The 13,223-nt window shown below is 37.4% G+C and overlaps 1 protein-coding gene across 10 annotated transcripts in view; it reads left to right on the forward strand.

Moving 5' to 3' along the window:
- SGO2 (shugoshin 2) overlaps positions 1-13,223 on the forward strand; it is a 57,955-nt gene that overhangs the window by 14,573 nt on the left and 30,159 nt on the right. For all 10 annotated transcript variants that reach the window (XM_017003452.3, XM_005246345.5, XM_005246344.5 and 7 more), the window contains one exon: positions 1,865-1,950. In XM_017003452.3, the coding sequence (XP_016858941.1) occupies positions 1,865-1,950 (86 nt within the window). The remainder of the gene's footprint in view (positions 1-1,864; positions 1,951-13,223) is intronic.

Raw genomic sequence — 13,223 nt, forward strand, 5'->3', positions numbered from 1 at the left:
TTATGATGTTTTTACATCTTTTAAAACATTATTGGCTGGAGACACTGCCCTTCTCAGGGCTAGCCAATTTTTAGAGATAGCAAGGGACCAGCCAGGAGCATGTCTTTTGTTTTAGTCTGTTTGCTGCTGCTATAACAGAATACCACATACAGGGTAATTTATTGTTTTCTTTTCTTTTTTCATTTGAGATTTCATTCTCTAAAAAGACTGGGTAATTTATAAAGAACAGAGATTCATTTGGTTCACAGTTCTGGAGGCTGGGAAGTCCAAGAGCATGATGCTGACATCTGGCATGTGTCATCCCATGATAGAAGGTGGAAGGCAAGAAAGCATGCAAGACAGAAAAGGAGACCAGACTCCTGTAACCCACTCCTGCAATAACAGCATTAATCCATTCATGAGGGCAGAGCCCTCATGACCTAATTACCTCTTAAAGGTCCTGCCTCTTAATACCATCACAATGGTAATTCAGTTTCAACATGAGTTTTGGAGGAGAGATTCAAAACCATAGCACTTTTGATATGCAAGCTAACTAATCCAGAGCCATATCTCCCCTGTCTGGCCTTTATATCTCAGGAGGCAATGGTCCTCTGCTTTGATCGTCCCAGGGTCAGGTACTAGGCAACCAGGGACCTACCTCTCCTGTGTCTTAGAGCCTGCCAAAATTATTCAAACTAGCCAATTCTAGACTATTCACCCTGCCCTGTCTTGCCTTTCCTATGGAAACTCCAATAATAGGCTCTGGCCTAAACCTTCCCCTCATTCCCATCTTCTGCCTTCTGACCATCCTAGTGTCTTTTCTGTGTGGCTCTGCATGGCCTGCTGTACCTCTTGTCTCTAGGACCTGCAAGTATAATAAACTTTATTTTTTTCCTGAGTCTCTACCTTCTTTTAATGGCTACACCCAACTGACTATCTCATAAAAAGAATATGAAACAGGATGGAGATCCAAATATGTCCTCCACTGACATTGTTGGGCGGGGATGTGCTCTTTAACACTGGGCTGTCCCAAGCCTTTTCTGATGGTACTGCTGATTTGGAAGAGAGTTGTCTTATTATAGCCTGGTGAGTGTGGAAGTTTAGGTTCCCCATTTTGACCTTTGTGCTTTTGTCAAAAATTAATTGACCAAATATATGTGAATCCATTTCTGGACTCTCTGTTCTATGTCATTGATCTATTTGTCTTATCATTATGCTAATACTGTACTGTCTCAATTACTGTAACCCTCCTAACTTTTTTCTTTTTCAAAGTTTTCTTTGTTTTTTTAGCTATTCTAGGTCTTCTGCATTTTCATATGAATTTTAAAATCAGCTTGATAATTTGGCACCATTCCCTTGTTTCTATTACAGCTTAGCTCTGTAATAAAAAACATGGTTGTGTGTTGCCTAATTTTCTGGTGTTTATTAATAATTAAAACATGTTTGTATCTGAAAATTTAGAAATATGGATAAGTAAATATATAAAAGATATATTAAAATCACCCAGATTTTGAATTTTAAAAAGCCATTTAAAAGATGTATTATAAAATTCAATAAAATATTGCATAATACATATGTAGACATGAACATATTGCATGTATGTAAAGATATTGTATTTGTGTAGGTATAGTCATGTATTTATTCCTACACATAGAAGAATGTTGAGGTTATATACCAAAATGTTGGCAGTGATTATCTTTCGTTGGCATGATTAAGGATGCACTGTGTTTTAACCTTATTATCACATTATTCTCATTAAATTATTAAAGGTAAATGCAAAAATTGTTCTTTTACTATTAATGTCATTGTATAATTTGGTACTGTGATAACTAACATGATTTAATAAGGTTAGAAACTTTGTTTTCTTTATTTTTTTCAAAAATAGTTCCATCAGAGTTCCTTTCTACTGTCAGCTAGCAAGAAGAAACGAATTAGTAAACAGTGCAAGTTGATGCGTCTTCCATTTGCAAGGTAAATATGGGCTTGAATTACACTAGTTCAGAGTATATAGATTTTATATAACACAATTAGTGTTTGTGTGTATTGTACAGTGTTCAGGATCATCAACCTGTAGTTATCTACTAACGTAGAAATGAGCTGGTTTGTAGTGTCTTGCTATAGGTTGTTTCTCTAGGACTCCAAGGAAACTTACGGTCAATCCCCCAACCAGGTTTATTTGTAATGTCTTGCTACTTTATAGTTCTTTTTTTTCTTTTCATCTAGTTCACTCCTGGCCTTATATTGATTTTTGCTGGATAAATCTGATGACTGTTTCTACCTTTATTATCCTGTGTACTGTCCTAAACTTTAAAATTAATTTTTGTCGACCAGCAGGACGTGGTGGCTCATGCCTGTAATCCCAGCACTTTGGGAGGCTGAGGCAGGAGGATCACGAGGTCAGGAAATCGAGACCATCCTGGCTAACATGGTGAAACCCCGTCTCTACTAAAAATACAAAAAATTAGCCGGGTGTGGTGGCGGGCACCTGTAGTCCTAGCTACTTGGGAGGCTGAGGCAGGAGAATGGTGTGAACTCGGGAGGCAGAGCTTGCAGTGAGCCGAGATTGCGCCACTGCGCTCCAGCCTGGGCGACAGAGCAAGACTCTGTCTCAAAAAAACAAACAAACAAAATTAACTTTTGTCTTTGCTCTTATCCTCCTGTGCACAATTCTCATTTTTTATTAATTTGATTATAAGTTATAGAAAGCACCCTATTTCAAATCTGTCATCTTACAAGTCAGTCAGTGATGCTCAGAGAGGCAAAATGATTGAATGAATTGATAGCATTGACCAAAATCCTGTTGTCTCTTTTAGAAATGTTCTTTCTATTATATATAACATATAGATTTAATGCTTTTACTTAAGTGCACAAGTAAATGCACTTATTTATTGAAATGCTATCTGTGCCATAGTAAAAAATTCTCATATTTACTGTATCACTTTCAATTCATTGTAGTTTGTTCCATTGACTTGCCTATTATGTGTGTTATTACCATTTCATACCAGTACATTTTAATTGTTGTAATTTTAAAATAGTAAATTTTGTTGTTTATTAGATCCTTAGTAGTTTTTCAAAAGTATGTTGTCATTATGCACGTATTGTTTCATATAGATATGCAAATTAAGTGTCAACTTGTCCTCCAAAAAATTGTATTGTGTGTCTTTAAGTGAACTTTTGTTTGAAGTATATTATACATATTCAAACATGGTGGATTTTCACCAAGTGAACACTGTTGTGTAATGCATACCCAGAACAAGAAACAGAATATTACCAACATCTCAGATACTTCCTTGTGTCCCTTTCTAGTCACTACCCACTACCCAACACCTACCCAAGGATAAAATATTATACTGACTTCTAATTATAGATCAATTAATTTTACATGGTTTTGAACTTCATATAATGAAATTATACAGTATGTATGTTTGTCTCTGTCTTCTTTTGCCCAGCATTATGTTTGTTAGATTCATCCATATTGCTGTATGTAGTTGTAAATTATTTGTTCTCATTGCTGTATAGTATTCAATTGTATGATTATACTACAATGTATCCATTCTTCTTATGGTCAACATTTTGTTGGTTTTCCAGTTTGTTTGTTTGCTTTTTGAGACAGAGTCTTGCTCTGTCACCCAAGCTGGAGTGCAGTGGCACGATCTTGGCTCACTGCAACCTCCACCTGCCGGGTTCAAGTGATCCTCCTGCCTCAGCCTCCCAAGTAGTTGGGATTATGGGCACCCACCACTCTTCTTGGCTAATTTTTGTATTTTTAATAGGGACAGGATTTTACCATGTTGGCCAGGCTGATCTCCAACTCCTGACCTCCAGTAATCCTCCCACCTCGGCCTCTGAAAGTGCTGGGATTACAAGCATGAGCCACCACACCTGACTTGGTTTTCTAGTTTTGGTCTATTACAAATAGGGCTGCCACATATATGCCTTTTGATGAAGGTATGCACACATTCTGTTAGGTATATAGTGTGGAGTAGAATTACTTGGGAGATCTATCTATCTATCTATCTATCTATCTATCTATCTATCTATCTTTGGCTTCAGGAGAAACTGCTAAGTAGTTTTCTAAAGGAGTTATACCAATTTACATTATTACTAACAATATATGAGGATTCCTGTTGTTCTGTATCCTCAACAATTCTTGTTATTGTCTGTCTTTTTCATTTTAGCCATTTTGAGGGATGTATAGTGGTATCATTTTGTGGTTTTATTTTTAATTTTCCTGATAATTAAGAAGTTAAGTATCTTTTCATATGTTTACTTTCTATTGGGTTATCTGTCATATTTTTTAAGGTGTTCTTTGTATACATATTTTTGTATGTGAGGCAAGGTCTCACTTTGTCACCCAGCCTGGAGTGTAGTGGTGCAATCTCAGCTCACTACAGCCTTGACCTCTTGGGCTCAAGCGATCCTCTCTCCTCAGTCCCCCAAGTAGCTGGGACTACAGGTGCATGCCATCATGCCCGGCTAATTTTTATACTTTTTGTAGAGACAGGGTTTTGCCATGTTGCCCAGGCTAGTCTTGAACTCCTGAGCTCAAGTGATCTGCCCACCTCAACCTCGCAAAGTGCTAGGATTACAGGTGTGAGCCACCATGCCTGGCATATTCTTCGTGTATCTTCTACTCTGTGGCTTGCCCCTTTGCTCTCTGAATGGTGTCTTTAGATGACCAGTAGCTCTTTATGAAATCCAACTTTGTTTGTGGCGGGGAGGTGTGTATCTTCTCCCTCACCCGCCTTTTCGGTTACTAATTTTTGTGTCCTTTTGAGAAAATCTTTATTGGTTCTGGTTCTAAAACGGCAGTGTAAGATAAGCTGGCTTCTCTTGCCCCAACAAAACAAAACAAAACAAAACAAAATATACAGTGCCAAGATCTACCACCATCAACAGCCCAGAGATCAAGCTAGTTGAGATACTTCCCGGGGCCAAAAAGAGGTGGAAAAACTCTGAGCAGATGGTAGGAGAACTGCACTTCCACATGTGCAATGCCCCTCCCTCCCATTCTGCCAGGCCCGAACTATGTGGAAAATCTCCCCTCAACTCACAGTTTCTATACTGGAAAAAGCAAAATTGAAATGGTCAGCCAGCTTCCCCACCTTCTTCAGTTCCCTGTCAGGAGAACTGTCCTTGCCTTAACTGATGGGTAGCATTATGACTGCCTGAAGGGAGAAATATCCCGGAGGACAGGCAGAGACAGACAAGCAAGGCTGGACTACCATCCCCAGCCCAGAAACTCTGCTCTGTAACTCAGCCAAAGGAAGCGCCAAATGAGAGTGGTTGTAGGAGGTGCATTCCCCAGGTCCCCTGGGTGTGAACTCCTAGCCAGCCTTCCCACATTGCTGTCCTAAACCCTTTGGGACCTCCCCCATTTTGGGACAGGCAGTGGTCAACCATTTACTAGCTCCAAGGTGAACCTGGGTTGAAGGCACCACCTGGAGCCAAAAAGAAGGCAGCAAACTAGCAGTATAGATTTGCTAAAAAAAAAAAAAAAATACAAAAAATTAGCCAGGCGTGGTGGTGGGTGCCTGTAGTCCCAGTTATTCAGGAGGCTGAGGCAGGAGAATGACGTGAACCCAGAAGGCGGAGCTTGCAGTGAGCCGAGATCCTGCCACTGCACTCCAGCCTGGGCTATCGAGCGAGACTCCATCTGGAAAAAAAAAAAAAAAAAAAAAAAAAAAGATTTGCTAGGCAGATATATTCAATAAAATCCAAAACAGGCTGGACAAAGAAAACTGGAATAAATAATCCTTCAAGGCAAAGACATAGACTTACACTCACTAGAAACTACAGCAGACAAGGAGCCATGAGCTTCCCAAAAGGACAAAAAGCAGAAATTTAGTGACTGATGAAGTGGCAGTTTGTGATTTCTTGGACCAAGAATTCTAAATAGTAGTTTTAAGGAAACTCAGTGATCTCCAAGATAACAAAGAAAAGCAGCTCAGAAATTTATCAGAGAAATTTAACAAAGAGATTAAAATAATAAAAAAAAGTCAAACAGAAATCTTGGAACTGAGAAATACATTTGCTGAGCTATAAAACTCTTTAGAGGTTCTTAACAGCAGAATGAACCAAGCAGAGGAAAGAATCAGTGAGCTGGCTATTTGAAAATACACAGTCAGAGGAGAAAAATAAATAGAAGGAAAAGGAATGAAGAGTGCCTACAAGATACAGAAAATTACCCCAAAAGACCAAATCTAAGAATTATTAGTGTTTAAGAGAGAGCTGAGCATGAGCAAGGCATAGGAAGCTTATTCAAAGAAGTAATAACAGAAAACTTTTCAAGACATGAGAAAGATATACATGTCCAGGTAAAGGAAGGCCTGAGAACACCAAACAGATTCAATGCAAATAAGACAACTTCAAGGCATATAATAATCAAACTCTCAAAGGTCAAAGACAAAGAGAAGATCCTAAAAGCAATGAGAGATAAGAAGCAAATAACACAAAGGAGCTCCAATTCATGGGGCAACAGACTTCTCCACAGAAACCATGCAGGCCAGGAGGGAGTAGAACAACATTTTCAAGGCACTCAAACAACACCAACGACAAAAAACTGACACCCAAGAATATTGTGTCCAACGAATTGTCATGCAAATTTAAAGGAGAGCTAAAGTCTTTCACGGATAAACAAAAGCTGAGGAAATTCACCACCACCAAGGACCATCTTGTGAGAAATGCAGAAGGGAGTTCTTCAATCTGAAAGTAAAAAACACTACCATGCAAAAGGAAACTTTTTAAGGTATAAAACCCACTGGTAAAATTAAGTACACAGACAAACTCAGAATCCTTTGTTAACTGTATTTATGGTGTGCAATCCACTCAAACTCTAGCATGAAGCCCAAAAGATAAATTTATCAAAACTATATCAACCTGTTAATAGATAATATAAAAATATGTAAATTGATACAACTAAAAGACAAAATGTTGGAGGGTGGAGTTAAATTATAGAATTCTTTTGTGGGTTTTCATATAAATTGTCTCAGTTCTTCAGTTAAAAGCCATAGAGTAGCTGAATGGATAAATAAATGAGACCTACCTATGTGCTCCCTTCAAGAAACTCACTTCACCTGCAAAGACACATATAGACAAAGTGGAGAAGGGCTGGAAAAAGATATTCCATGCAACTAGAAAACAAGAGCAAGAGTAGCTGTACTCGTAGCAGATAAGATAAACTACAAAGACTGTAAAAACTGGCAGTAAAGGAGGGTCACTATATGATTAAGGGGTCAATTCAACCAGAGGATATAACAATTATAAATATCTATGCACTCAACACTGCAGCTCCATATAAAGCCAACATTACTAGATGTAAAGGGAGAGAGAGACTGCAATACAGTAATAGTAGGGGGCTTTAACATCCCACTCTCAGTAATAGACAGATCATCCAGACAGAAAATCAACAAAGAAACAGCATAAACTGCACACTAGATACAATAGGTCTAACTGACATTTCACCCAGCTGCTGCAGAATACACATTCTTTTCATCAACACATGGAAGATTTTTAAGAATAGACCATATCTTAGGCACAAACAAATCTGTACAAGTTCAAAAAAATATAAATCATATCTGGTATCTTCACAATGGAAGAAAACTGGAAATTAAAATGAGAGGAACTTTGGAAAATACACAAACAAATGGAAATTAAACAACATGCTCCTAAGCAACCAATGGGTCAAAGAAGCAAGTAAGAAGGAAATTGAAAATTTTCTTAAATGAAAAGGGAAATACAACATAGCAAAGTGTATGGGGTATGGCAAAAGCAATACTGAAAGGGAAGTTTATAGCAATAAATGCGTATATCAAAAAAGGAGAAAAACTTCAAATAAACAACCTAAAAATACATGTCAAGGAATTAGAAAAGCAAGAACAAAGCAAATCCCAAGTTAGCAGAAGAAATAATAACGATCAGAGCAGAAATAAATAAAATTGATACTAAAAAAGTATAGAAGATAAAATGAAAAGTTGGTTTTTTGAAAAGATAAACAACATTGACAAACCTTTAGCTAGACTGAGAGAGAGGACTATAATAAATAAAATCAAACAAGAGATGAGACATAACACCTCAGACCTCAGAAATATAAATAATTATTAGAGACGATTATGAATAATTATACACCAACAAATCACAAAATGTGGAAGAAATGAATACATTTTTGGACACATATAACCTACCAAGATTAAACCATAAAGAAATAGAAAACCTCAACAAACCAATAACAAGTAATGAGATTGAAGCTATAATAAAAACTCTCCCATTGAAGAAAAGCCCAGGCTGGGCACAGTGGGTCACACCTATAATCCCAGCCCTTTGGGAGGCCAAGGCAGGAGAATTGCTTGAGGCCAGGAGTTTGAGACCAGCCTGGGCAATATAACAAGATCCAGTCCCTACAAAATAAAAAATTAGCTGGGTATGGTGGCTAATCCTGTGAGGATTAATCCTGTCAGGCTAATCCTGTGGTCCCAGCTACTCAGGAGGCTAAGGTGGGAGGACTGTTTGAGCCTGGGAAGTTGAGGCTGCAGTGAGCAGTGTTCACACCACTGCACTCCAGCTTTGGTGATGGAGCAACACCCTGTCTCAAAAAAAGAAAAGCCCAGGACTTGATGGATTCGCTGCTGAATTCTACCAAAAATTTAAACAATGATTATGAATCCCACTAAAACTCTTTGAAAAGGAGGGAATACTTCCAAACTCACTCTACAAGGCCAGCATTACCCTAATACCAAAACCAGACAAGGACACAACGAAAAAATAAAACTACAGACCAATATCACTGATGAACATAGATGCAAAAATCCTCAACAAAGTACTAGCAAGTCAAATTCAACAACACATTAAAAAGAACATTCACCATGATCAAGTGGGATTCATGCTAGGGTTTTAAGGATGGCTCAGCAGACACAAATCAATCAATGTGATTCACCACATTAAAAGAAACAAGAACAAAAACTGTATGATTATTTCAATAGATGCCAAACAGCTTTTGGTAAAATTCAACATCCCTTTTTGATAAAAACACTTATCAAAATGGGTATAAAAAGAATATACCTCAAAGTAGGAAAGGCCATCTATGACAAACCCACATCTAGCATTGTACTTTGAAGACTGGAACAAGACAAGAATGCCCACTTTCACTGCTATTCAACATAATACTTGAAGTACTGGCCAGAGCAACTAAGCAAGAAAACAAAATAAAGGGCATCCACATTGGAAAGGAAGAAGTCAAATTAGCCTTGTTTGCAGATTGCCTGATCTTATAAAGACTCCACTGAAAAGCTGTTAGGACACATAAGGGAATTCAGTAAAGTTGCAGGATGCAAAATCAACATAATTAGTAGCATTTATATACACCAACAGTGGACAATCTGAAAAAGAAGTCGAGAAAGCAATCCCATTTATCATCGCTACAAAAAATATGAAATACCTAGGAATCAATCTAACCAAAAGAGGTGAAAGTTCTATAGAAGGAAAATGACAAAACTCTGATGAAAGAAATAGGACACCAAAAAAGGGAAGATATTCCATGCTCATGGATTGGAAGAATTAATACTGTTAAAATGAAAATACTACCCAAAGCAATTTACAGATTCAATACAATTTGTATCAAAATACCAATGACATTCTTCACAGAAATAAGGGGGAAAAATCCTAAAAATTTATATGAACCCGCAAAAGACCCTGAGTAACCAAAGCAATCTTGAGCAAAATGAACAAAGCTGGAGGCATCACACTACATGACTTCAAAATTTATGACAAAGCTGTAGTAAACAAAACAGCATGGTACTGGCATAAAAATGGACATAGATACCAATGGAACAGAGAACCTAGATATAAATGCACCATTTACAACCAACTCATCTTCTGCAAAGGTCCCAAGAACTTACAAAGGGATAGTGGTCAATAAATAGTGCGGGAAAACTGGATAACTATATGCAGAAGAATGAAACTAGACTCCTATCTCTCACCATACACAAAAATCAAATCAAAATGGATAAAAGATTTGAATCTAAGACCCAAAACTATGAAACTATTAGAAGAAAACATTGGGGAAACACTTCAGGAGTGATCTGGGCAAAAATGTCTTGTGTAAGACCTCAAAAGCACAGGCAACCAAAGCAAAAATAGACAACTAAGATTATTACATCAAGCTAAAAAGCTTCTGCACAGCAACGGAAACAATCAACAAAGTGAAGAGACAACCCATATAATGTGAGAAAATATTTGCAAACTGTCTCTCTGAGAAAGGATTAATAACCAGCATATATTGGGAGCTTAAACAACTAAGTAGCAAAAAAAAAAAAGAAAAAAGGGGAATCATATACTGGTAGAAATGTAAATTAACATAGCCACTATGCAGAACAGCATGGAGGTTCTTCAAAAAACTGAAAATATACCTTCCATATGATCTAGCAATTCCATTGCTGAGTATATATCCAAAAAAAAAGGAAATTAGTGTATCAAAGAGCTGTCTGCACTCCCATGTTTATTGCAGCACTATTCACAATAGCCAACATGTGGAATCAACCTAAGCACCCATCAACAGATGTGTGGATAAAGTATGGAAGATATATACACAATGGCGTATTATTCAGTCATAAAAATAAAATCCTGTTATTTGCAGCAACATGGACAGAACTGAGGCCATTATGTTAAGTGAAATAAACCAAGCACCAAAAGGCAAATATTCTCACTCATATGTGGGAGCTTAAAAAGTGGATCTCATGAAGATACATTTGTGGTTACCAGAGGCTGGGAAGGGGGAGAGAGGAATGAAAGAGAATTTTCATTATCACTGAACTGTAGACTTAAAAATGGGAAAGATGTAAGTCATATATGTATCTTTTACCTCAATACATTTTTTTAAAAGGAATATTTCTATTGATTGCAAGGTCACAAGGTGTTCTGTTCTAAAATTTTTATTATTTTCCCATTCATGTTTATATATTCAGTCTACTTAAGAATTTTGGGTATGATGGGAGGGAAGGGTCATAATTTTTTTTTTCATGTAGGTATCTTACTGACCTTGTATCATTTATTGAAGCAATCATCCTTTTTCCACCCCACTGCAGTGTCATCTGTATTGTAAATCAAGGAGACTGGATATGAATGGGTCTGTTTCTAAACTCACTATTCTATTATGTGAGTCCTTTTGTCAATACCACACTGTCTTAATTATTAGCTTTATAGTAAGTCTTGCTATTTGATAGTGTGAATCTCCATTTTATTTATTTTTATTCTTCAACATTAGCTTGGCTCTTTGCATTTACACTTGAATTTTAGAATCAGCTTGTCAGTTTACACACACACATACATAACCTAGAATTTTTGGCCAGGATTATGTGGAATATAGTTCAGTGCAGGGACAACGGACATTTTATAAAATTGACTCTTCCATCTATAAACATGATATATCACTCTATTTAGCTATAATATATATTCTCTCCATGTTTTGTAGTTTTTTTGTATTGAGTTATTACATATCTCAGATTTATTTCTATTCATTTCATATAGATACTTTTTTAAAATATATTTTTTGAGATAGGGTCTTGCTATGTTGTCCAGGCTAGATTCAAACTCCTACCTCAGCCTCCTGAATAACTGAGATTACAGTTGTGTGTCACAGTGCTCAGCTTTATTTTATATTCTTAAATGATATTCTGAATGTTACTGGGTTTTGTTTGTTTGTTTTTTAAGTGAAAGCAAGTTTACTAGTAAAGTTAAGGAATAAAGAATGGCTACTCCATAAGCAGAGCAGTGGTATGGGCTGTTCAACCAAGCTTACTTGTAGTTATTCCTTGATCATATGCGAAACAAGGGGTGGATTATTCATGAGTTTTCTAGGAAGGAGGTGGGCAATTCCTGGAACTGAGGTTTTCTCCCCTTTTAGACCATATAAGGTAACTTCCTGACATTACCATGGCATTTGTAAATTGTCATGGTGCTGGTGGGAGTGTCTTTTAGCATGCTAATAAATTATAATTAGCATATAATGAGCAGTGAGGTAGACCGGAGGTCACTTTTGTCACCATCTTGGTTTTGGTGGGTTTTGGCCAGCTTCTTTACTGCAGGCTGTTTTATCAGCAAGGTCTTTGTGACCTGTACCTTTTGCTGACTTCCTGTCTCATCCATTGACTAAGAATGCCTTAACATCCTGGGAGTGCAGCCCAGAAGGTCTCAGCCTTATTTTACCCATCCCCTGTTCAAGACGGAGTTGCTCTGGCTCAAACACCTCTGACACATCCGCACCCCCCCGCCCCCTTTTACAAGGGAACCCTTAATGCTAAGGGTTGTAGAGGGACGAAAATTCATCTTCTGTAACTTCTTCAGGCTGAATAGGGGTGATAATATTCCTGCCTAACTGTTAGGGTCTCTTGTATTTGGGTAGAGAGGAGCTCAGTCAGAAGGCAACAGTATGGTGAGGACCATTCATAACTCTTGAGTTCTGACAAAAGGTGATACCTGGAAGATTAATAAGTGCACCATTTCGGAAAACATTAAGGAAGCCCATACTGCATTCCTACACAAGGAGTACAATAGCAATATATTCTACAACAGTAAAACAAAATAAGTAAAATTATCCCAAGTAAACTAAATAAGAAGGCTTTCCATGAACTGGGCAATTGTTGAAACCAAGCTAATAGGGAGTCACTAACTGATTCCAATATGTGCCCAGAATTAGAATACTGATTGAGATTTCTACATTACCTATCCCTCTTGTTTCTTTTGAGCAACAGCCAGAGACCACTGATGGGTTCACAGGAATAAGCAGAGTCAGTCTAAATTGCAGAAAAAAACTCAAAAACAACTGATGAGACTAGAATCCAATAACAGGTGTATCATAGTGCTTGAAACATAATTTTCTTCTCTCTCCAGTATCACATTTTTACTAAAGACAAATCATAATAGAACTGATTTGTTTGCAAAAATAAGCTTTAGTCTTACACTTAGCCTGATTATTTGTATAAAGTGCAGCAAGAATAATTTTTTTAAACATAAGCTCTTTTTAAACTGGCTTTGATGGAACATTGTTCCATAAGGAATCTCAGATGAGACTTTTTTAAAGCCGAGCCCAGCCATGGGTTTGTACCCTCCGATACCTATAACTTGAGTAAATTCCTCTCTTCTTGAGGTCCCAAGATAACTTGGGGCTCCTGGGCCTGTCAGAAAATGACATTATTTACTTACCGCAGGTCAAGAAACCTGTACAGGGATTGTGTACACAAGGTATGAGGCCA

Source organism: Homo sapiens, chromosome 2 (genome assembly GCF_000001405.40).
Source record: "Homo sapiens chromosome 2, GRCh38.p14 Primary Assembly".
NCBI classification, from domain to species: domain Eukaryota; kingdom Metazoa; phylum Chordata; class Mammalia; order Primates; family Hominidae; genus Homo; species Homo sapiens.